General features: G+C 35.2%; 1 protein-coding gene across 10 annotated transcripts in view; it reads right to left on the bottom strand.

The window, feature by feature from the left end:
• The window catches only part of SMCHD1 (structural maintenance of chromosomes flexible hinge domain containing 1), a 149,292-nt gene that overhangs the window by 58,204 nt on the left and 64,025 nt on the right, over positions 1–27,063 (bottom strand). For all 10 annotated transcript variants that reach the window (XR_001753172.2, XR_935055.3, XR_007066135.1 and 7 more), the window contains 10 exons: positions 24,151–24,295; positions 21,819–21,915; positions 20,290–20,362; positions 18,218–18,357; positions 17,405–17,539; positions 14,322–14,549; positions 8,269–8,417; positions 7,294–7,382; positions 5,993–6,111; positions 2,886–3,053 (listed from right to left, as the gene is read on the bottom strand). Coding sequence is in view for 7 of the 10 variants with exons in the window: in XM_011525642.2 (XP_011523944.1) it covers positions 2,886–3,053; positions 5,993–6,111; positions 7,294–7,382; positions 8,269–8,417; positions 14,322–14,549; positions 17,405–17,539; positions 18,218–18,357; positions 20,290–20,362; positions 21,819–21,915; positions 24,151–24,295 (1,343 nt within the window). In the remaining 3 variants the exon portion in view is untranslated. The remainder of the gene's footprint in view (positions 1–2,885; positions 3,054–5,992; positions 6,112–7,293; positions 7,383–8,268; positions 8,418–14,321; positions 14,550–17,404; positions 17,540–18,217; positions 18,358–20,289; positions 20,363–21,818; positions 21,916–24,150; positions 24,296–27,063) is intronic.

Here is a 27,063-nt window from a genome sequence, read left to right as displayed (position 1 = left end):
GCCCAATCCCCTGGGCCAACATTTTAAAAGTTTACAAAAGATGGAAGGGAACTAAAGGACAACTACAAAAAAAAACTGATTTATCACCTCTCCTCTAACAAGAAAGTTCCTTCTGCTGCTTCTACCCCCTACTCTTAACTGAGGTAGCTGGTTACCAGATTATGGGGAAAGGCTGCTGAAAATGGAAAGAAAAATTAACAGTCTGCTATGAATAAGACATTATGAAAAAAACCAAACACCCTTGAGATTGGTTTAGTTATGTCCCTCTACCATAAAGTTTACACAGCTACAGCCATGTTCCCTCTGCCAAAGTTTATAAAAAGCTTGAATTTTGAAAACTGCTGAGTTTCCAAATGTAAACATACAGTATTTCATTCCTAATCAAATAACTGTTTACCCAAACTACCTTTAAAGGACAGTCTAAGTTTTTAAAGGACTCCTATCTACTTTTAAAGGTTATCTTTAAGTAAATGACTTGTAGTCCAAACTGCTAATGTTTTCTAGAAAATAGTAGAAAAAGCAAATTTCCAAAATCAAATGTCCATAAGCATTTTAATATCACATTTAATGTCACTTTTTAATACTGGCATGTTAATATTTCAGAATTTCAGTTTCCTCATTTACTTGTATTTTATTTTATTTTTTTACTTTTTTACAGAAACAAATTATCACTATGTTGCCCCACCTGGTCTTGAACTCCTGGGCTCAAGCAATTCCTCCACCTTGGTCTCCCAAAGTGTTGGGATTACAAGGCATGAGCCACTGCACCTGGCCAGTTCCCTCATTTATAAAGAATAATATATGTATTTATTAATACACATCTATTTTTCTATTCATCATGTTAATGTATTATATCAGTTCCTCCTCTCTGCACAGATCCTATCAGGGGGAAGGTGGGTCAGCAATTAAATTAGAAAACTTAGAAAAATTAGATATCAAATAATCATTTTTCTAGCCTCATCTATATATAACCATATCTCAAGAGACTGATATATTAGTTTATGTTTTATTTTAAATTTCTGGATTATTACGGATCTACAAATAACTCTTATAATAAATTTTTGAGCTAACAAGCTGTCATTATTTTTTATATTTGTCCCCCAAAACGATATAAGACAAACATGTCCAGACTTTTTCCACCTCAAAACTGTTCCACACAACTGTTCCAGGTAACAGTCAATCAACAAATACTTCACTGGCATCAGTAGGTATAAAAAGTGGGTTAATTTATGTTTTGTAAGTGCTCCCAGAAAAAAAAATGCACTGGCTTTTCAGTAAAACCCTTTAGTCAACACACTATTATTCTAAAAACTGTGTTTTATAAAGCACACTGTCACAACCAGTTTATCTGCTTTTTAAACTCACAAGTGAAAAAGATCAATCTCAAACTAAGGCATGAGCATGTTAACCTTTCTTAGATGACCTGCCCCTTTACTAAGATAAATTCACCTACTACCATGATTGTGTGACTTCATTTTCTTTTACAGAAAACATGGGCTGGGAACGGTGGCTCACACCTGTAATCCCAGAACTTTGCGAGAATGAGGCAGAAGAATTGCCTGGGCCCAGGAGCTCAAGATCAGCTTGGTCAGCATGGTGAAACCCAGTCTCTATTAAAAATAAATAAAACTTGTTTCAAAGTTAGCTATCACATCAACAGTTAAAAGTCCTGGCCGGGTGCAGTGGCTCATGCCTGTCATCCCAGCACTTCGGGAGGCCAAGGCGGACATATCGCCTGAGGTCAGGAGTTTGAGACCAACCATGGCCAACAGGTGAAACCCTATCTTTATTTAAAATACAAAATTAGCCAGGAATGGTGGCACATGCCTGTAATCCCAGCTACTTGGGAGGCTGAGGCAGGATAATCGCTTGAACCCAGGAGGTGGAGGTTGCAGTGAGCCAAGATCGTGCCAATGCATTCCACACGCCAGCCTGGGTAACAAGAGTGAAACTCTTTCAAAACAAAAACAAAACAAAACAAAACAAACAAAAAAACCATTAAAGCCCTGCTATTCCATAAGCAAATGTCAGAATCTGGACATTTTAAAACTAGAATTCCATCAAAGGATACAAAATTTCAGTTAGGAGTATTAAGTTCAAAAGATCTATTGTATGATGATGACTACAGTTAATAGTATATTACTATTCTTCAAAACTGCTTCATCTATTGCATGTCCTTTCCGTGACAAGATGATTCTTCAAAACTGCTAAGAGAATAGATTTCAAATGTTTTCACCACAAAAAAAAGTATGAGAATATGTGCGTTAATTAGCTTGATTTAGCCATTCCACAATGTATACATATTTCAAAATATGTTGTACACAATAAATATGTACAATTTTTGTCTGTCAATCAAATTAGAATTCTGAAACTTCAGTAAAAAAAAAAAACAGATTTGACAGACATTTACAAAATTAGTATTTAAAATTTAAGTACTTGCATAGGAAGGCATACCGAAGTATTTACGGATATGACTTGATGTCTGAGATATGCTTTTTAAAACTCCAATAAAAAGTTATTAGATTAGTATAAGAAAACAAAGAACAAAATTGGCAAAAATCAGTAACTGTAGAAACTAGGTAATTGGCACATGGGAGTTTGCTACACTATTCTTTTTATTTTTATGCATGCTTGAAATCCTCTGTAATGTAGTTTTTAAGATCTGAATTATTACACTCATTATTTTTAACAAATGAGGACACAATGATGAATCAAATAACAAAGTATTAAGACTCACATTACCTTGCTTTTTTGTTATTTTTACTGTTAACAACTGTTAGTTGTTACTTCAGCAACAAAATATATCTATTCTGATTCACTGACAATCTGAAAGTAATAAGCCATATGATATTAAATTCTTTCAGTGAAGACATGAAGTGACTTACCTCCTTTAGTTCTGGCCAGTCTATAAGGAGAAGTTTAGCAGGAGGTCCAGAAATTAGTTGCACTCGAATAAAGTCAGAAAACTCACGCCAAGTAAAACAAAGATCCTTATTTCCAGGAGGACCTGGAATAAATTTGATGCCTCTTACACTTATACTCTGTGTGTTTTCCTAGTGAGGAAAAGTACATTGAGAAAGACAGGGGGTATCACTTAGTGTTCAGAAAAACAAAATAAAATGTTTTGTCATTAACCCATGGGCGTACAGATGTGTTTCTTGGTAACATGACAGAAAATAAATAGCACCCATGCAATAATGGCATGCCATGCATTTTATTTTCAAGAGAGGAGAAACTGAATTTTTTCTTTCAAGGGGTAGGGGATCTAAAAGGTTCTGGCAATGTCTCTTTATTTTATCTTTTCTTAATTTCCCTCTTCTTTATACTTCCTCCTTTCTGCTACCTGAATAGCTTTTATACTTGTTCTTTCCCTCTGTTTGCAACATTATTTACCAGATATACACACTGTTTGTCTTTAGATTTTTGTACATGATACCTTAATAAGAGGCTCTTCCCTGATCACCTTACTTATTGGCATACTATCTATCCCCTTCTTTACTTCATTTTTCTTACCTCTTATTTCTTATCTATTGCATGTTCTCTCCATGACAAGATGATTTCCACAAGGTCAGGAGCTTTGATTTGTCACTACTCAATCTCTATTACTTAGAATAATGCGTAACACATCATATTAATGAGAATCAATGAAACTAGCCTATAATCTTTGCAATATGACTGAATGATTCCACACTGGCGTGAGTGCTGCAGTATTTGTATTTTAATGGTGACCCTTGATGATTTATTCATCTTAAATTTCTGCTAGGTACAAATCTACTTCATCAAAATTTTATTTTTGTTTCTGGGCTGCTGTAACAATATTTCAGCAAAATTTTAAAATCAGGCCAGGCACAGTGGCTCCTGACTATAATCCCAGCACTTTACGAGGCCAAGGTGGAAGGATCCCTTGAGCCCAGTTCACGACCAGCCTGGGCAACACAGTAAGACCCCGTCTCTACAAAAAATTTTAAAATTAGCCAGGTGTAGTGGCATGCGTCTATAGTCCTAGCTAGTTGGGAGGCTCTGGTGGGAGGATCACTTGAGCCCAGGAGGTTGAAGCTACAGTGAGCCATATTCACAACACTGCACTGCACTCCAGCCTGGGCAAAAGAGTGAGATCCTGTTTCGAAAAATTAAATAAATAAATCAGAGAGAAAACTTCATGTTTTATGTTCTCAAACAATGATCTGTAGAACAGAATATTTTATGTAAAAAGTCACTGTAAAATAATCAAAATTAATCTCTCCGAAAAGCCCAATAAGCACAGAAGAATTTTTCAATATTCAGAAAACTAATTAAATAGATATTCCTTAGTAAAATGTACTGAAGTTCAAAATATGCAAAGTCTATCTTAGGGTTCCAAATTTGATAGCTCTTCTGAACCAAAAGCCCTTCTGAAGGGGTGATTTCTTTTTAAAGTCATGTTGGAAGTTGTTCTGGTTTTATTTCAAATCTTAGAAATGAAATTGCATTTACAAATTGTAGATGGGTACAAACAGAATTAAATACACAATTCCGAAAATGAGCCAAGATAGTATACGTCAATTACAGAAAGACAGAAGTAGAAAAAAAGTCCACTTGGCTGGAGAGTAAAGAGCTATGGAGAGAGAAAGGGGTGAGATTATGGTAGGGTGGAATACTATAGGTATTACAGGCCATACTAAGGCAATGGATTTCAAATGCAGTAGAATGTAACATGCTGATAGGTCTAATGGGTAGCATGAGAACTGAAAATTGACCCCTGGATTTGGTCAGGTAGAACAGAGCAGAAAAACATGATCAGAGTGGCTTGCTACAGAATGACAGAAAAGGATGTGAAAACATACAACTCTTCCAAGGAGTTTTACTATAAAATGGAGGAGGGCAGTAGATGGACAGGAATACAGGGCCAAAGGAAGCTTTGCTGGTTTTTCTGGAGGGATTTTTCCTTTTGTTTGTTTAAGATGAGAGACATTCCAGCATGTTTACATGCTGGTGGGACTGCTCTAGTGGAAGAGATAACTGAAGATGTAGGAAGACAGGTTATAATTTAGGAGCAATTAGGAGCCTGTGCGCAGAGTGATAGGAAGCAGGGATTGTTTATTCATAACAGGAGCGCATTTATTTTCTGATTTCATCTACGTGTAGGGTGAAGCTAGAAAATGGAAGAAACTAAAAGTCAAAGAGCATATTTTATCATTGTGGAGGGAACAAAATATCATTCAAAGTTCCGCAGCAGTGAAAATGATGCTCGACATTAGAAAATAGCAGAACAGATTACTGGAGACAGAAACTCTAGTTAGAAGGGAAACATGGAAGTTATTTTTGTGACTGCTCTGTTAAGAAAAAGTGTAATAGAGACTCTCAAAGGAGGAAAAGTTTTAAAAAGCATTCAATGATCTAAATGAATTTAACTTCCCTTTGACCTGAGAGATCTTCTCTCTCACCCACTGTGGACTACTACTGGCAGGTTCCTTGAAGACCCAACTCCAGCATGTCCTTTTCCCTAAAGCTGTCTTTACCTCTCTAAGCAGAGTACAGCATGCTTGTTTGTTTTAGACTGAAAGAATTCCACCAGAGTTTTTATTTTTTAAGCTAACATGAATTAAGTGCACAGTTGCAAACCTTTATAATGATTTTTCTCCTCATCATCCTGTTAATACAGGGTTTAAACATCAAGAAATTTTATTTAAACAGCTACTATGAAAAGCTATCAAAAAAATCTATATACCACAATCTTTATGGATAAAATGGTATGATGTCTGGAATTTGCTTCAAAATGATATGGTATGGGGAGAATGATGACTGTTGAAGATGATGGGAACACAAGAAATACTCATTCTATGTTTATTTCTGCATATGTTCAAACTTTTTCAAGTTTTTAAAATGCCTTTTATGACTTTTCAATTTAAAAACTAAAATCAAACTTTTTTCTTATACTAGTTTTTCCCAAACTTTTTGTTACACATATAACAATGAATAAATCAAACCAAAATGGTATAGAAAGTAGCCATACCTGAAAGGTTGTTTTCAAATTTGAGCTATCAAGTCCAACCCCAGCAATTGACAAAGAAGATAAAGAACTTGGTGAAAATGCTTGAATCTGATTTCCGTACTGATCTGTAATTATTATAACTAAAAAAGGGGGAAGTTTTATTTTAGTATTATCTTTTAATAGAAGATATAAATATCTACAATACACTATAAAAACATGCTTAGAAACTTACTCTTTGTTCTCTTACTGAGTAATTTTTGGTACAAAAATAATAATTATACTCATTTTTTAAATTCACGACAAAATAAACATCAAGAATTTACATAAGCATATTTTCAACTACATTTAACACGATGCTAATGTTAATCAGATTTTTTTACCATGAAAATTTGAAGATAATATTTTAATGTAATTTTCTAGATATAAGAAAAAATACATAGGAATCCATTCATACATGTATGTTATACTTTTATGTTTAAAAAAGAATTTTTTAACCCAAATGCCCATCAGTGATAGAGTAGATAAAGAAAATGTGGCACATATACACCATGGAATACTATGCAGCCATAAAAAATGATGAGTTCATGTCCTTTGCAGGGACATGGATGAAGCTGGAAACCATCATTCTCAACAAACTAACACAGAAACAGAAAACCAAACACCACATGTTCTCACTCTTAAGTGCGAGTTGAACAATGAGAACACATGGACCCAGGGAGGGGAACATTACACACCAGGGCCTGTCGGGGAGTCGGGGCTAGGGGAGGGACAGCATTTAAGAGAAATACCTAATGTAGATGACGGGTTGATGGGTGCAGCAAACCACCATGGCACGTGTATACCTATGTAACAAACCTGCACGTTCTGCACATGTACCCCAGAACTTAAAGTATAATGTTAAAAAAAAAAAAAAGAATTTTTTTAGGAGTACAGTATCACTATTTTGTCCAGGCTGGCCTCAAACCCCTTGGCTCAGGCAATCCCCTCGCCTCAGCCTCCTGGGTAACTGGGACTACAGGCATGTGTACCATGCCAAGCTTACTTTATACTTTTATTATTAACTTCTAACTAGTAATATTACTTCTAACAAAAGACAAGATTTTTTTTCGACAAAATGTGTTTGTCAAACTGATTTTAAAGCTATGTCAGCCTGGGCAAAGATAATGAAAATACTTCAATCTTATCTGACAATAGATTTTATATCAGTAACATTATATGAACCCAAAAGCTTTCCTTTCAGATTAGGTATCTAAAACATCCATGGAAGGAAACATCACAGAAGATTTTTTTGTTGTTTGTTTTTTAAAGCAAGCCATACTAACCTACTTCTCCTTGAAGCTCTTGGCCCATCTGTACTGTTTTTCCTCCTTTCATTTCACATTTTAAATGTTTAGGTTCATCAGGAAGTGGTCTGAAATTGTTTAACAAGTTAGAAGTCTTTAGTGACACCATTAATTGAAGTAGTTCCAACATGCTACAGAATAACACATATATAATGTTCATATCCAATAACTCAAATACAATAACACTCCTTCAAATAACTGTTTAATTTATATAATCTGCTATTAATCCAAAAGAAAATAGGAAAAAGACACTTTGCAAAGATAGTAGAGAATATGGACCAAAAACTTACAGACATGTTAAGTCACAGTATTTATGCTGGATTAAAAGGAAATTATGACAAGAAAACAGATGAGTTAACAACTCATTGAGAGATCTCATTACGGTCAGAATGCAGTACATTTGAAAATTCTATCTCAAAAACAGAACTATCCTAAGTGTTGGGTAAAGTATAGAAATGGGTAGAGGAATTAAAGTGCAAGAGGTTATTGGAAAAGAGGTGGCCAAGAAATTGATAGGCCAGTGTAAAGGTTTTTTTTACACATTCACTTAATTCTGTCCCTTCAATATGAGTTCTACATATTAACTCTGGTTGGACTCTCAGCTTTAAAAATTCTCACTAAGCAATGAAAGGATTTTTCCTTCTGAACAACACTGACTGATCACACTGTATCTTTTGTATTTTTCACGTCTTTGTCATTTTGCAGGTGTTTTCACTGTTACTGGCACTAAACTTTCCTTTAATGAAGGTTCCAGCTACTAGAAGGCCAATTCAGTGCAAGATTACAGTGATAACAAAAATTAATCGCTATCACCAATGACACTTTATTCCAAAGACAATCTATTATATTTCATAGAAACCGTAATATTTTTACATTAAAAACAACTTTCATATATGTGCAATGGAGGACAGTATTTTGTTGCCATAGGCTGCAAAATATAATGAGTCCACAAACCTTACTGTAAACGCACTTTCCAAAGACACATGATCATCTTGGAATGAAACCTGGCAATAGCGCATATCTTTTACAGATGTTGGTACTTGCACATCAGGAAGCAGACCCTGTAGCAAGTGTTCTTTGTTAATCTCAGGAGTCCAATTAACCTAGGAGAAAAAGAGATATTTAACAATAATAAAGCTTCGTCTAATGTTCTCTTACTGCCACTTATCTTACTCTTAAAACTACATTATAATCCGTCTTCTTCACCCCCAAGAAAAAAGTCTCTTTATGGTCAGAAACGGTGTGGTTCATATACTAATATGATACAAAGGCATCCTCTTTGTCTTTGTTGTTAATATTGCCCTATTTTTTTAGTGAGATAAAATAAAAATTCTTAAGTCATTTCTTTAGAGCTCTGCCACAAAAGTATCACTGTGGCCATTATCGTTTAAAAGTAACATATAAATCAGATCATGTGATTAATTCTGAAAAGCAATATTCAATTATTTTTTGAAAAGAATCCTATTTATGGGAAAGCTTTCAATGAGATCTAGGTGGACGTTATTCTTAGCAAGGTGAGAAAAAAGAAGTTTGATCTAACTTTCTGGCCATACTTTGGCCTTAATCTCTTCTTAGGTGTTTTTAGTTCTGTATTAATTTATACCTCTTACATTCCATATTTTGTCACTTAATCCATACTTTTTCAAGTTGTTTGCTCTACTCTGTACTTACTTTTAAACTCCCAATACTTTCTATTTAAGAATTCTGACCTCAACTTTCTCTCTACTTTTATTTAGCCTTCTATAGTTGTGATTTTAAAATCACTCATATTCTATTTTTATTTTTGGTTTTTATAGACAAGGTCTCACTCTGTAGCCCAGGTTGGAGTGCAATGATCATAGCTCACTGGAGCCTCCAATTCCTGGGCTCAAGCAATGCTCCTGCCCCAGTCTCATGAGTAGCTGAGATTACAGGCATGCACCCCAGGTCTGCCTAATTTTTTGTTGAGATGTGGTCTCACTATGTTGCCCAGGCTGGTCTTAAACTCCTGGCCTCCAGCAATCCTCCCACCTCAGCCTTTCAAAGTGCTGGGATTACATGTGTGAGCCACCACATCTGGCCTTAAAATCACTAATAGTCTTTTTAAAAAAAATTTCTAAATTACACTTTATTTTTCCTCTACTTTTAGGTTCAGTAGGTACGTATACAAGTTTGTTACATGGATAAATTGCATGTCACTGAGATTTGGTCTATGAGTTATCTCATCACCCAGGTAATGAGCATAGTACCCAACAGGTAGTTTTTCAACCCCTGCTCCTCTATTACCCTCCCCTTTTTTGGAATCTCCAGTGACTACTTTTCCTATATTTTTATGTCCATGTGTATTTAATGTTTAGCTCCCACTTTTAAGTGAGACCATTCAGTATTTGGGTTCCTGTTCCTGCATTAATTCACTTAGGATAATGGCCTCCAGCTGCATCCATGTTGCTGCAAAGGACATGATTTTGTTCTTTTTTATGGCTGTGTAGTATTCTGTGGTGTATTTTCTTTATCCAATCTACTACCGACAGGCACCTATGTCTTTGCTGTTGTGAATAGTGCTGAGATAAACAGAAAACTGCACGTATATTTGGTGAAATGGTATTATTTTCCTTTGGGTATATATACAGTAATGGTATTGCTGGTTCAAACGATAGTTCTATTTAAGGTTGAGAAATCTCCAAACTGCTCTCCACAGTGGCTGAACTAATTTACAGTCCAACCGACAGTGCATAAGTGTTCCCTTTTCTCCAAAATCTTGCCAACATCTGTTATTTTTTGATGTTTTAAATATAGACATTCTGACTGGTGTGAGATGGTATCTCTTTGCTTTTGACTTGCATTTCTCCATGATTATGATTATGATGTTGAACATTTTTTCACATATTTGCTGACCACATGTATGTCTTCTCTTAACAAGTTATCTATTCATATCCTTTGCCCATTTTTTAAATGGGGTTGTTTTTTGCTTGTTAAAGTTCCTTATAGATTCTGGTTATTAGACCTTTTTAGAATATATAGCTTGTTAATATTTTTTACCATTCTGTAGGCTGTCTGTTTACACTGTTGGTAGTTTCTTTTGCTGTGCAGCTGTTTAGTTTGATTAGGTCCCACTTGTCAATTTTTGTTTGTGTTGTAACTGCTTTTGGGGACTTGGTCATAAATTCTTTGCCAGGGCCGACATCCAGAATGGCTATTTCCTAGGTTTTCTTCTAGAATTTTTATGGTTTGAAGTTTTACATTTAAGTCTTTAATCCATCCTGAGTTAATTTTTGTATATGGTAAAAGGTAGGGATCCACTTTCATTCTTCTGCATATGGCTAGCCAGTTATCCCGGCACCATTTATTGAATAGGGAGTCCTTTCCCATTGCTTGTTATTGTCGCCTTTGTCAAAGATCAGATAGCTGTATGTGTACAGTTTTATTTCTGGGCTCTCTAACCTCCTCCACTGGTCTATGTGTTTGTTTTTGTACCAGTAGCATGCTGTTTTGGTTACTGTAGCTCTGCAGAACAGTTTGAAGATGGGTAGTGTGATGCCTCTCATTTTGTTATTTTTGCTTAGGATTAATCACTTTGGCTATTTGAGCTCTTTTTTAGTTCCATCTGAATTTTAGAATAGCTTTTTTCCAATTCTGTGAAAAATGACAGTAGTTTGATAGGAACAACACTGAATCTGTAGATTGCTTTGGGCAGTACTAGTTCTTCTGACTCAGGAGCATGAAATGTTTTTCCCTTTTTTAGGTATCATCTATGATTTCTTTCAGTAGTGTTTTGCAGTTCTCCTTGCAGAGATCTTTCACTTCCTTGGTTAGATGTATTCCTAGGCATTTTGTGTTTTTTGTGGCTACCGTAAATGGGACTGTGTTACTGATTTGGCTTTCAGCTTAAAACGTAGTACAGAAATGCTACTGGTTTTTGTATACTGATTTTGCATTCTGAAACCCTACTGAAGTCGTTTATCAGCTCCAGGAGGATTTTGCCAGAGTCTTTAGTGTTTTCTAGGTATAGAATCATCTCCACAATGATGAGACAGTTTGACTTCTTTTCCTATTTGGACACCTTTTATTTTTCTCTTGCCTGATTGCTCTGGGTAGAACTTCCAATAGTTGAATAGAATTGGTGAGAGCAGGCATCCTTGTCTTGTTCCAGTTCTCAAGGAGAATGGTTCCGGTTTTTGCCTGTTCAATATTATGTTGGCTGTGGGTTTGTCATGGATGGTTCTCATTATCTTGAGGTGTGTTCTTCAATGTCCAGTGATGGCTTTTATCACTAAGGGATGTTGGATTTTATCAAAAGCATTTTCTGCGTCTACTGAAACCATATTAAATCATACGGTTTTAATTTTGTTTATGTGGTGAATCACACTTTATTTGCGTATATTCAGGGTTGGTTCAACCCTGAATCTCAAAAATAAAGCCTACTTGTTCGTGGTGAATTAACTTTTTTTTTTTGAGATGAGTCTTGCTCTGTCTCCCAGGCTGGAGTGCAGTGGCGCAATCTTGGCTCACTGCAACCTCTGACTCTCGGGTTCAAGCAATTCTCTCTCTCAGCCTCCTGAGTAGCTGGGATCACAGGTGCCCGCCACCATGCCTGGCTAAATTTTTGTATTTTTCTAGTAGAGATGGGGTTTCACCATCTTGGCCAGGCTGGTCTTGAACTCTTGACCTCGTGATCCACCTGCCTCATCCTCCCAAAGTGCTAGGATTACAGGTGTGAGCCACCACGCCTGGCCCGTGGTGAATTAACTTTTTAATGAAAATCACTAATATTCTGTTTCCTAGTTTATGCTCCTCTAATGTTTTTAGTTACCTTTTTATCTTTTAAAACCATCTTTAGTCTCTGTTCTTTATTGTATTAAAAAAAAAAAAGGAAAATAAGCAAGCAAGAGTTCCACAAAAAAGATAAAAGGCTTTCCTCACTCACCCTGGCTGCGTACTCCCCTCAATAGATTCCCCAGCTCAGTTCAGGCTGACTTCCTTGTATCTTGGCTTAATTCTCTCAACACTACAAAACCACTGTAAAGGCTGTACATTCAACTTAAGTAAAATGGAGTACTCACTATCTTTTACTGTCAATGAAGAAGTGCACAGACATACATAATTACCAAATTAGAGGCAAAATGTGTCAAATGCAGGCAACAACCTTAGAGAAGGTATGATAGGGAGAGGCTCTCCAGTCGGTTTTTCTTAAACTTCTTAAGAGAGGAGGAAATGGAAGCATGATTGTGAGAAAGCAAGGAAATAGTTCAGAAGCCACATCCCTGGCACCACTATTAAACCACTACTTACCTTCAAATCTGCTTATAGAGATAAAAATGGCTTACCTCCTTTCCAAGCAGAATCAGAATTATTTCTATCTCAATTCTCTCTTCCCTCATTATGAAGGGGAAAAAAAGCTGGCTAGAACAAGCATTGTTCCAAATAAGATTTTAAAACTCAGGTCAGTTGAACCCGTGGCTAAATAATCCTTTTGAATTACCAGATCTTATGTTTGGAAACACAAGATGGGTATGGTGTATACCGGTATGGAAGAGCAACTCCTACATAGTGCCAAACATGTTAACTCTCCAAAAATTTGGCTAATTGGGACTCCGTACTAAGAGTCTATGAATGTCAGCTCTCCAGACATGGAGGAATGCTTATTTCTAACTACCTCAAAAGCCTGGAATTTTGATAAATTATTTTTCCACACTTGGGAATTTTATCTCCATAGACATCAAGGGAAAAAAGTACAGTAAGTTCTGTTACAATGCTTACTTTGAAAATGTAAATTTGTTCCAGTACAATTACGTTTACTTTGAAAATGCAAATTTGTTCCAATACAACTATCAGTAAACAATTTAAGCATAAGGCAAATTTTACTTTTGCTTAGGTACAATTTCATCTATGAAAAAACTAGGTCAACATAGAAAACTGTACCCAGCTGAACCAAGTGGGAACACAACAAATGTTGCACCTCAAACACCTATCAGTCACCTCAGTTGACTATGTGTTAATGAGCCACGCTCATCCACAGACTGTTAAAACAACTTTCCCCTCACTTTCAGATAACCTTCCTTCCACCACTTCACAGGAACTCAAAAGCTGCAATCATTGCTTCATCAAGCTAGGTAACCTCCCATATTATTATAGTATTTATGTATTTCTTAACATTTAACATGTATTATCATTATTGTTTTTGCCACTATTTTATTAGGTTCTCTTAACGGGTTACTGAGAAAGTTTGAGTATTGTGCCTCTAGTTTCCATTTTCCCTCATAAGCCCTGTGATTTTTTATTGTACAATTTTGCACAGCAGAGTGATTCTGGAGAATGCATGTGTCTCATTATAGAAGAACAAACTGAACTTTGAAAGAAGCAAGCATAGACTGTCCACTATTCTTTCAGTCAACCATCAAAGGAATGCTAAAAAGCTGTCTACTTTATGTAATAAGACTTAACATTTTGATTTGGCTCCCTGTTCAGTGAGGTGTTAAGTTTCAACATGCAGACTCAACCCTATCAAGGTACAAATGTCATATTTAGATGACAGCAGGTTGATGAGGACCAACAAAACTCTTTTCTAAGGATCATATTTTTAGAGTGGTATACCAATTTCAATAATTTCCAATGGCCAAATAGAGGCTCTGTAGTTAACAACACTGTTTCACTGCTTGCCTTTAACAGATCTTTTGTTTAGTGCTTTCAGAACTGCTACCAATTTATTGCTAGCTTTATCAAGGTGGTGATGTTGATTATGATTGCAGAAAAACAGCTAGTCAGGAAGAGCACAACTAAACAAAATGCCAAAACCTAGATTTTTAAGTGTCAAAATCATTTTTCTAAGTATAATTTTGTCACATATGAATCATTTGCATTTCAACCTATTCCATGAAAAAAGCTTATTCTGCTTACAATTTGAAATGATAGTATAACTTTTCTGTGACAAGCTTCTTTTTTAGATGCTACCCATAAAACGGCTTGTTCAGTCTTACAAACATAAAATTTAAAAAGTTCTTACAAATAACCAATCTGTTAGAGATACTTACTTTAATTTTTTCTGCTAAAGCTGATGTTATATTGATTTCTCTTTCTCCTTCATCATACATTTGAAAAATAAGATTATGCATAATATCACCCGCTATCCAATTAACCTCATCCTGATGTTTGATCTGAATTGCCTTTTGTCCTTCTACACTGAATATTTGTAGTCTTGCAACATGGCTACTGGGAAGCAACTTAATAGTCTTCTCCACAGGTGCCACATCTTTACAACTCTAGAAAGAGAAGAAAACACAAACACTGAGTGATATCTGTACTGAAATTTTACACTCCTGAAGAATTTACTTTCAATATTATGGAAGACCATCTCATACATTGTTATACTCACAGGTTTTGTCATTAAGATGGCATTATACTATTAATAATTCCGTATTTTATACCATCAGGTTATAAATGGCAGTGGCCACATTCTTAAAATAAAAACAATTGTATGTGGACTAAAAGGATTCCCCTCCTTTTTATTTTTTTTGAGACAGAGTCTCACTTTGCCTCCTAGGCTGGAGGGCAGTGGCATGATCTTGGCTCACTGCAACCTCTGCCTTCTGGGTTCAAACTACTCTCCTGCCTCAGCCTCCAGAGTAGCTGGGATTACAGGCGCCTACCACCATGCATGGATAATTTTTGTATTTTCAGCAGAGATGGGTTTCACCACGTTGGCCAGGCTGGTCTCAAACTCCTGACCTCAGGTGATCCACTGGCCTCGGTCTTCCAAAGTGCTGGGATTACAGGCATCAGCCACTGCGCCCGGTCCCTTCCTCTTATTTCCAAGTTTCTTTAAAAGTATTGCCATCTTGTGAAATTTTAATTATGTTACATACTCTGTTAGTATTTATGAATAAGAACAAAGATGTAAGAAATTAAGAACTTTCCATAAAATCAGAGACAAACAGCTACCATAAAATACATTATTTAATGGTAACAGATTACATTAAGGCTTTCAGTATTTTTTCAATTCATAACACATTGGGGTAAGTGATCAAGGTTGTTTATAGCCAGAGAAGGCCTCTAGATGCCCTGAAGACAACTGGTCAACATATTGGCATATTTACAATTTATTATTGGCATACCAGTGTTCTACAGATCAAAGAAAAGACCAAGATTATGCTATATAAATTGATTTTAGGCACACAAAATTAAAATATTACATTATTTCATAATCTAGTTATAGTCCATTCAACAGCACACACTAAATTTAAAATAAGTTTAAACATAAAATACCTTTATAATCTTACTTAACTCATGTCTCCTTCCTCATCCAGTTGCAGCCATTTAACTTATGGAAGCCTATCCACGTGAGTGATATTAAAAATTCCTACCTCATGGAATGTCAGGCACATAACCATCTTCTGTTGTATCTTACTTGCCTTACTCCTAAACTCAGTTATTGCCATTGGATAACATTTTGTAACTGCCTATTAGAGGATTTACGTTGGCATTTGTTTTAACTGACCTGAATTCTTGGTCTTCTCCTGAGTGGTCTGTAGTATTTACAAAAGTCCTAATGCCTGCTGCTCTTGCCTCCAAGTCCAGATTCCTCCCTAATTCATAGTCATCTTTTGCAAGAAAGTGTGCTCAAAAGTATGTTGCCCATATTATTGCATAAAGAAAATGCATAAAAAATACTTTAAGCTTATCAAATATAACAAGCTTAAAAAGAACTGGAATGAAGAGTCATCTCATTCTAATTTAAAAAGTAAAAGACATCTTGTATCCATTTGAGGTTCAAGCTATGTTAATAACTGATGTATAATTAGTAGGAAAGTATGAGTTAATCAACCAATTAGATTATCTATCACCATATCAATTACTAAGAAATCACATTTAAGTATTTTACTTAAGTATCTGTTACCCTACTCAGCAACCTTTGAAGTTTTACTTAAGTATTTGTTATCCCACTCCACAACCTTAGATTGTTTACAGCTCTTGCCTCCATGTTGGCTTTGCTATCAGCCACGATGAATCACCAATAAAAAGCATCCTACTGGCACATGATATAGAAATCCCTTTGTGGGCCAGGCACGGTGGCTCACGCCTGTAATCCCAGCACTTTGGGAGGCCGAGGTGGGTGGATCACGAGCTCAGGAGGTCGAGACCATCCTGGCTAACACGGTGAAACCCCATCTCTACTAAAAATACAAAAAATCAGTCAGGCGTGGTGGCGGGTGCCTGTAGTCCCAGCTACTGGGGAGGCTGAGGCAGGGGAATGGCGTGAACCCAGGAGGCAGAGCTTGCAGTGAGCTGAGATCGTGCCACTGTACTCCAGCCTGGGCAACAGAGCAAGATTCCATCTCAAAAAATATAAATAGAAATAAAAAAAATCCCTTTGTGTAAAAACACAAATAAAAAGCTATGTGTGTATAGAAAATTACATACAAAAATTAAAGGTTTATATGTCCTTCCATGGTGGTTTAAACAGAGATATTTACCAAGCTTTCTAAAACAAATGAGAACGATAAAAAGCAAAATGGCTGGGCACAGTGGTGCACACCTATAACTTCAGCACTTTGGGTGGCCAAGGTGGGAAGACTGCTTGTGGACAGGAAGTTGAGATCAGACTGGGCAACACAGCAAGACCCTCTTTTTCAAAAAATAAATAATAAATAAATAACCAGGTGCATTGGTCCTTGTCTATAGTCCCAGTTACTTGGGAGGCTGAGGTGAGCACATCACTAGAGCTTAGGAGTTGGAGGCTGCAGCAAGTCATGATTGTGCCACTGCACTCCAGCCTAGACAACAGAGTGAGACCCTATCTCTTTAAAAAAAAAAAAAAGCGAAAGAATAAAATTATGTATTTTAATAGAAGAAAAATATTTTAGGGAAATGTAAATCAATAATAGTTATAGACACTATAAAAGACACTGTAAAAATCAAGACAATTACTAATATTTGACACAAAATGTTAAAATAGTCATTACAGCATTTCATATTGTCTTTGCTTTGCTTTGGCTGAAAGAACCACAAATACCTCATTTTCAGAAGTTAACAATTTTGCAAAAAATGTTATTAAGCAGTTGAAGACTATTTGTATGAAGACTCAATATAATATCAATGAGTAACAATAATAACTTACAGGTATTTCAATTCTTGCTTTAAGCGTCTGGTCTTTTTTAATATTCTGAACTTGAATTGCAGATCCTGTTAAAATACTGGTTCCAGAACTACTGCAATCTACAACATAGACTGGAAGGTTTGGAGCACCTGAAAACTATTTGAAAGATGAAAAATAATGTAAGACCCCTATTAAATATATTTGATTCTTCCGTAATTGTTCAAAGTTTCAAATAATTCAGTAGAGCTACTATTTCTGGCAATGAATAAGAAAATTCTAAGTAAAAGTCACTAAAACTCTAGAATACTGAACAAAAACAGTAATTTTCTACTATACTATGTAAAATTTATCTGTTTTGGAAGGAAAGAACTAACTTCCTCAATTACAATCCTTTTCTTTTTTACTTAACTGGATTTTCTTTTTCTTTCTGCGGTCTTTTACCTACCTTCATTTAGTCATCATTCCCTTTTTTTTTTTTTCCCTAAAGTAAAGGAATAAAGAATGGCTACTCCATAGGCAGAGCAGCCCATTCCCAATCCTGAAAGACATTTTTGTCTTTCTATTCATATATATGAAATGAGAGGCATGGAGTCAAGAGAGGAGAGGTGAGTAAACTTTTATTCACAAATTTATGAAACTGGGCACAGTTGGCATCTTTATTGGTTTAGGTACGATTAAAAAAAAAAAACTATTGGCAATAAGATCCCACAAATCCTTCCACGGAATAATCGTTTCAGACTTAAATCCTGTGTAAGACTTACTATTAAGTGGCTAAAATAGTCATTGCCACTTACTACAATGGGACTCAATCTAAATATCTTCCAATAAGCTTACCTTACAATGAACAATCAATTTTGGTTGTGCTGTTATGTTGTCTGATTCATCTAAAACTTCCACCTGAAATGGGAAAGCTGTTCCATTTTCTATAACTAAAATTTCAGAATCAGGTTTCACTTTCAGTCGACGAGGGTGACCTAACAGTAAATTATACAATGAAATACATATTCAGGTTTCAAAGACTAAAGTACTGAAATAGCAAAAGAAATAACTTTAACATTAAAGACTTAATATTTTATAAATATTGCCAAGAAAGAAAAATATAGGCAATGTCCATGCTTAATCAGTTTCATCCCAAAATGCACAGATTCAATACATGACAAGACTTATCTCAATTGTATAAAATGCTTGGTGTCTAGGCTAAGTTTTATTCCACAAGGTACAACACAGTGATAATTCATATTAGAAATCACCTAAAATCTTTAAAAGATACTGGGAAAAAGGTATTCAAAAACAAAAATAACAGCTTATTAAAACTATTTACCAATCTTACCTGATGATTTTTCTGGCACAAGTAACTATATGTTTTAGACATTCAAAGAATTAGTTCTTGTAATGACATGATCAGGTCATTTACTTGTTAGATTGCCCACTACCTCTGATGTCATAAGCAATTAACATCACAAATTTCCTTTAAGATTAAGAAAAGTAGGCTTATACTTCTACAGTAAGCCAGTCTGATTCGTTCATAAACACTGATATTTTAAAATTCAATTAATGCTACATACTGATAACAAGTATATGGAGAGAATTACTTAAAATATTTTATTTTGTACTAATATTAGTTATATTCATTCATTTACTATATATGAAGCACTGTGCTAAGTTTTTTTAAGCACTATTCTTACGTAAACTTCACAATAATCTTAATGAAGACGTTACTATTATCATCATCCCCATTTTACAGGTAAGGAAACTGGGATTCAGAGAAATTAAGTATTTTGTCCAGGTCACAAGGCTAGTAAGTAGCAAACATAGGTTTAAATTCTGGTTTGCAATTTGAAACTCCTTGACTTTTATCACTACACCATGATACTTCCTATTTACCCCACAAAAAGAACTATCTAGCTACTAAGAATTGTACTACTCAAATCCATACTTTTAATAATCTAATCTCTCAAATAAATGAATGTTTGTTGATACGTATGATTTTTTTCTTATACTTCCACCAATGGACCTACCTAAATTCTTTCAACAATTCACACTGGAGGGAAATGTCAAACAACTTCAATTTGTGAAAGCAAATAGCTAATATGTTTCTTTTTGCTTAAAACCAGTAAAAAGGTCACATATGCACACAGATATGGTTGTGGTATCTTTCATATGAGAGTTAAAACTTACATGCTAAACACTGTTGTGTTTTACAGGTGCAGGCAGTTCTTACTTGGTACAGTAGGTGTTAATGAAAACTCACGCATATTGGAACTGTGTCCTCCATTGAGTACTACAGAACTGTGCAAGGCAAGGACTACCTGTAGTAACTCATTTAATCCTCCTAACAACCCCAAGGGAGTAGATATTATCTCATTTTACACATGAAGAAACTGAGGCATAGAACGAGTTTACCTAGATACTAACCCAGAAGGGCTGACTCCAGAATGTACTTAAAATCTCTACCATAGACTACCTCTCAAATTAGCCAGCATATTCTACCCTACGTAACTTTAATGCAACTTCATTTTCTCAGGTTAAGTCATTATCAAGTTAACTTAATAAAAATAACATTAGAAGTTTTTCTTCTTAAAATATGAAACAGTTTTATCAACAAAATGTAAAGAACAGACCCATCTCTAATAAAGCCTAATAGACATATTCCAAGAAACAGTTCCCCAAACATTTTCAATATCCAAATTTTTCTCCCAAGGTTATATTCAGAATGTCAATAACATCTTCCTAAATGTTTTCCTTTTTAAAAACTGGTCATTTCTGTCAGTGCTATGGTTTGACATTTAAGTGTATTTTCAAGATTTACACCACTACTAAAAGCCCAAAAACCTCTAACTTCATATCATTATACTTTAACATAAGAAAATTATTTTAAATAATTATATTTCTTGAAATAATATTACCAGGTAGTAATCTAATTTTCAAAATCTGTGAGTCTTCTTTTAAGCCAGGCAGAGTAACCTTCAGATTATAATTCTGTTGGAAAAAAACAGTAAAAATTAAACCCAGTCCTGAATACATACTTAAGTAGTTTATCACATCAATTCTGATTTATATTTTGGTTTTATTTTCATACCATTGTAGAAATTACTTACCAACTTTATACTTACTAAAATTATCATATATGGAGTCAGAAATCTTAGAGGAAAAAAACTGATCAATACTGCTTCCTTATAGACAGTGAAAGGAAGAGAATTATGGTAGAATCTACTTTTCCAAAATAGGAATATCATTTTAGGATCAATTTTTCTCTTAAATTTTTATTCTCAAAAGGCATAACCTCTGAATAATTATCATAATCAAGATAGATATTATAAAACATATGAAATAGTAAAGTAGAAAGAAACAAAAACCAGAAAATTTTGAAATGCAATGTGGTACTCCATATTGGTTCATGGAACAGAAAAATAAATTAACTGGAGACAAGTAAAAAAAAGTCCACGGTTTTGTCAGTAGTATTTTGTCAATGTGTGGATAAATATATAAAGCTCTGTAAGACATTAACAGAGGAACTTTCTACATGTAACCTCTCTATACTATCTTCGAACTCCTTTGTAAGTAATTTCCTCTAAAGTTATTTCAAAATAAAAAGGTTTTTAAAATCTAGAAATTTTTAGTAAGTTTATCTTACTAAAGTCAAATTTTCTGTGAATTTCAAGTTCTTTTTCCAGAAAAATCTGAATTCAGAAAGAATCAAGAACTCAATTTTTGACTTGATTATACAAAGCAGCATATAGTACTTGAAAAAAATACACATGCTCTGTTTTAAACATCACACGGATAGGGAAAATTTTTAAATATTTAAAGTAATGATACACTGAAAAAAAACTTGCTACAGTGTTCCTTTTAGTCAGTTAAGTCTATTAGCTGCTTTATAGACCTAACTGAAAAATTACCTTATTAGAGTTTCTATCTTTAGCTTCCCTGTTTTTTTTAGACCAACAAACTATGCATAGGATTCCTTCCTTAACTGTATCTCTCACCAAACACTTCCTTTTATCTAAATACCAAAGTGATATGTTTAAAGATGTGAGCTGAAATTTCTCATATTTCTAATTGTCATTTTTGTTCTAAGAAAAATATTCAAAAGTGGACAGAAACAGTAGGAGAGAGAAAAAAAAAAAACAGCAGAGTCCTAGATAACTATGTCGAAAAAATGGCTTTGAATGTGAAAAAACTGAAGTATAGATAACGGGGAGAGGTGAAAAATATTTAATTCATGTTTAATCAACAACAGTAGTAAATGTGCCAACTTTTCTTACAGATGTAACTGATAAGTCAGGTGGCATAATGCTGATAAATTCCTAAGAACCCAATTACTGTCATCTGTTTTTTAAAAATAGGTCATTCCACTTTTCATTTACAATTTCATTCTTACCATATGATAAATAAATACTTAACAAGTATCATAGGATCTATACATAATGCTTACCTTGCCTTGACAAGAGTTTACAGGGCCCTTGGCTGTAACACCTCGAATTACACAATTTGGTCCTTTGGTTATTTCTTCATAATGTAAAGATAAACCACTGGGGAAAAAAAATTATTTTTTAACTCCCCTCAATTGCCTACAAGTAAGCTGCAAATGTGTTTTTGCTTTCCTATGTGACATTGGCATGTCTAGTTTTCTAATAAAATATTTTTTAAATATAAAAAACTAAACAGAAAAAAATTCCAATGGATTTCTTTTACAAAGAAAATTGATCCAACAAGTATTAATAAGTGATACCAATGGGTTAAACACTGAAAATGATATAATACATATAATGTAAAATTAAAATAGCACATATTGAATTAGTAAAGATACAATGTAGTACCTAATCTAATGCTAGACCATGTATACAAGCCTAAGGAAAGGAAATAAATACCTAAAGAAGCCAGGTTTAAGGATGTCCTCAGCATTTACCATGAATTCTTTCAAATCTTTCACCAGTGGGATTTTAGAGAATTCTGGGCATCTGTTATTAAACTGAATGGCAATTTAGATAAAGTCCAAATAATAACAGACAGGCTTATGATGACATAAACCGAAGACATCACCTAATCTACTTCCATGAGTAATATGGTTCCTAAAGCTGATTCCAAAGCTAATTTCATCAGATTTGACCAGATGTAGATCTTTGCAGTGGCAAAATTTTACTCTGTGAAAGGTAAAGAAAGGGAAAAAAAGTAAAAAATATACCATGATGGAGAAAAGCCTAATTTTTCTGAGGAATGGAATTTAAGTGTTTACAGGTATTTTCAGAATAAACTGTAAAGCTCATTTGAAAAAAGATGCAATGTGGCATACAAGATAAAATAAATCCCCTGGGAAAGATGGCACATTAAACATATACACCTACTTTCACTGTCTCTTAAAATCCCACTAATATGACAGTAAAGGGATGTATTTTATTATTAAAGGAAAACATAAAGAAAAAACGGAAAGGAAGCAGAGACAGGGCAACCAAACTTATCTGCTAGAAAACAGGACAGCAAGTGGCAAATGATAGCAGTCTCCAAAAAGCTGAATCGTAAAACACAAATAGAAAAAGCTAGAAACCAATCTCTACCATCGAGTGCCCAGGTACTGTTCAGAATTGGCAAAAGGAAAAGGTTTAAACAAACAAGCAAAAAGACTGATGAAAAGTTTAGATCTCAGATCTCCAGATCTCTCCTCTCTGCCTCTGGCAGATGAGTGAAAGATGAATCTCTGAAAAGGTTAAAACAGAAGATCTCTGAACCAGGGACAGCAGATAAGCTGAGGATGAGAATGAAATACTAAAAAGAAGAGAAGAGGTTATCTGGAACGAATGCATATGGATACTGAGACCTCTCCTCCCCAATTCCCACCCCAGCCCTGTTCTTTGACTCACTTGGAACCAAACTATTCCCTGCTCTAGGCAAAAGACTGAAGATTCTTCTTTGAGGAAACTGCCCAGCCCAAGACCTAAAAATACTGACAACAGGATTTCCCCCAACAATGTACTCCAGACAGATCATCCCACAGTGGAGCTCACAGGCAACAGCCTCTCCACACTCTTTCACCTGCATTCCAGTCTCCTACTCATTTACAAGCAGATGACCAATAACCAGATATCTCTAGAGACCAAGAACAAGCAACTGACTAAGCTAGAGACAACAGAGTATCTGTAGAGGTAAAAGAAAGCTTTTAAAAAAACCCTAACCATTTGCTTTATCAGTGAAAACGGTATTACATTCACAAAACAAGAGGGTCTTTAAAAAATTTCAGAGAACCAGAAAGAACTCACAGCAACTAAAAATATGTTAGCAGAAAGGAAAAATTCAATGGAAAGGTAGTAATCATAAGGTCGAGAAAATTTATCAGAAAGTAAAACAGAAACAAAAAGATTGAGAACATTTTTTTAAAAATTGGGGATTAAATCCAGAAGGTCCAACATCCAATAACTAAGAACGCTAAAAGAGAAAACAGTGATGACAGAAGACACAGAATGAAGTATTTCAAATAATGAATTGTTAAGAGACATTATATCATACTTGCAAAAGAACATAGAGTAAGACATAAACACCTTAACAACTTCAGCAATAAATCCAGTCAAAACATAAACTTTAGTGAAGCAATTTATATATGACACTAGTCACAGAGGATAGCTTGGAGCTAAATTACCCAGATATAATAAAATTCACTAATATTTTAAATAATTAAAGTTGAACACCTTACACACAAAAAAAATGAAGCTGAAAAAAAGAGTAAATGCTTAGCAAATATCAAAGGACAAATACATATTGATCCTTCAAATTACCTTGCTTCAAGAACTGGCTGAATATCAGTTACTAGTTGACTGGTATGACCAAATTCATCCTGAAACTCCAGAGGGATATTAAATGGAACTCCAACACGAAAAGGAAGATCCAGAAGACCAAATGAAAATTTCTCTGGCTTACCCTCTTTAACAAAAACAAAAATGAAATGAAAAGCAAGTACATTGGTCAGAAAAGCCATTGGGGGTCAAAAACAGATCCATTTCTATCTGAGAAATTTTAGAAATCTATTTTAGACTATGCTAAAAATAACATTTTAAAATCAGCGCAAAAATTATATGTTATGCAGACAATCCACTTGGGAAAAACCTCCTGAGTAGCTGGGACTACAGGTGTGTACCACCACACCTGGCTAATTTTTGTATTTTTTGTAGCGGCAGGGTCTCATCATGTTGCCCACACTGGTCTTGAACACCTGAGCTCCAGCTATCTACCTGCCTCCCCAGGCGTGAGCCACCATGCCCAGCCATTATACCTTTTCATAGGAAAGAGCTTTAAAGGCAAAACACGATATTCAATAGTTATAAAATGATATATATGATGAAGTTAAATAGAAGCTCGACATGAGAAAATATTTGCAACATGTGTAACAAGGAAAATTCAGACTACATGAAGCCCTCCTATAAATTGGCTGTTCTCAAAGTGTGGTCTCTAGTCCTGAAGTTTTAGCATCCCCTGAGAACTTATTAGAAATGCAAATTCTAGGGCCTATCTCAAACCTGCTGAATCAGAAACTCAGGGTGAAATTCAGCAAGCTGTGTTTCCTTTCAGGTGATTCTGATACAAACTCAAATTTGAGAACCACAGCTTTAAACTATTAAAATGGGCATAGTAAATGAACAAGCATTGGCATACAATGTCCAATAATGGCTAGAAGAGGTACACAATCTAAAAATTAGAGAAGCAGTTTCACCACCAACTATGCTAAATGAATATATAGTTCAGCCAGGAATGAGCATGCAGTCAATTGGAACTCTCATAGTGAGAAGTGAAGGTACCATGGCATAGCCTTTTGGGATGTCCACTTCTTGGTATCACCCTAAAGAGATTCTAACATACGTACAGAAAGCAGCATAATTTTTTTTTCCCCAAAAAGCACTACGGTTTCTAATAGCCAAAAACTTGGAAACAATCAACACGATTCATCAACAGGAAACTGCTTAAACTACAGCACGCCCATCTTATGAAAATATGTTCCACAGGTGTTAAAAGAACACAGTAGATTTATGTATAAAAAAGTCTCCTAAAACATTTAAAAAAAAAGAAAACCACACTCCAAGGTGGGCCTTCTTGATATCACAGCTACCTAGATCAGTTCTCTCCAAAAACCCTGTAACAATGACTCTACAAAAGCAGTAAACAAGAAAAAAGATGAGAGTAATAGAATTGGAAAGCCAAAGAACATATGAGTAAGTGTAACTGACTTAGCAGAAAGACCCAAGAACATCAAATACTCAAACAACAAAGCAAGCAGAGACTGAATCTGATTCACCGTTATCAGACGCCCATAAGTCTCAGGAATGGCTGTATAAAGTTGTAGTGAAATTGAAATAAAACAAGAAGGTTGGCTGAAGTCAGTTTGAGAAACAGTTTCACAGATCCCCATCCTTCAATGCATGTGCTAGTCAACGACCCTCCTCATCCCCAGCAAAAGATGGAAGGTTTATTCTTCAGGGAAAGAAGAAAAGGTCTAGAAGTGAGAGACACAGCACTACTAAAAGTGTCACTGACCAGGCGTGGTGGCTCAAACCTGTAATCTCAGCACTTTGGGAGGCCAAGAAAGCAGGATAGCTTGAGCCCAGGAGTTCAAGGCCAGCATGGGTAACATAGTGAGACCCTGTCTGTATTTTAAAATCTAATCAATTAAATGTAAAAGTGTCACTGAAAATAGGAAAGTGTTTATTGAAAATAGGAAAATCACGTGGAAAATTATATACTAAATATGAGGACCGCCCCCCTACAAACATAAATGGTCTTTCTCAGCTTGGTTCCCAAAATGCTGGCAGCTAGGTCTTGTACCCTTTTAGCAGGTGACTGAAAGGCTCCACTCCGGGGAATCTGAATAGCCAAAGAGACAAGACCTAAAAATTCTCATATCATAATTACCCCAAGGAAATTTTCAAGTGCCCTATTCTTCAATGTTAGCAAATCACTAATTATATAACAGAATATCTAATAAAAAAACAACATGGAGGAAACAAACTATGAATCAGGAAAAACGCTGTAAGAAAAACCCCCACTATTATTAATATCCTCAGAGAATAAAGATACTGAATTCATGAAGTAGGAAGAGAATGCTTAAGGAATTGTTTAACAAGATTATTTTAAAAGAGATTTTAGAAACTAAAAATGGTAGCAAAAAGGAAAAAATAGAAAGCATAGAACATCAAGCTGTTAAGAAAATCTCCAATAAGGTAGTAAAAACAAAACCAAGAGATGGAAAGTAGGAAAAACAAAAATAATATACCAATCCTGAAATCCAACATCCTAACATTAGATATTTTAGAAAGAAAGAACAGGTTGGGCACAGTGGCTCAAGCCTGTAATCCCAGCACTTTGGGAGGCCGAGGCAGGAAGATGGCTTGAGGCCAGGTGTTTGAGGCCGAAATGGGCAACATAACATAGCAAGACCCTGTCTCTACAAAAAAATGTTTTTTAAAAATTAGACAGGGCCACGTGCGGTGGCTAACATCTGTAATCCCAGCACTTTGGGAGGCCGAGGCTGGCGGATGACCTGAGGTCAGAAGTTCAAGACCAGCCTCACCAACATGAAGAAACCCCATCTCTACTGAAAATACAAAATTAGCCGGGCGTGGTGGCATACGCCTGTAATCCCAGCTACCCGGGAGGCTGAGGCAGAAGAATCGCTTGAAACTGGGAGTCAGAGGTTGCAG

This window comes from Homo sapiens, chromosome 18 (genome assembly GCF_000001405.40).
Source record: "Homo sapiens chromosome 18, GRCh38.p14 Primary Assembly".
Classification (NCBI taxonomy): Eukaryota; Metazoa; Chordata; class Mammalia; order Primates; family Hominidae; genus Homo; species Homo sapiens.
The sequence above is the reverse complement of the archived record's forward strand: the minus strand, read 5'-3'. Positions and strand labels throughout refer to the sequence as shown.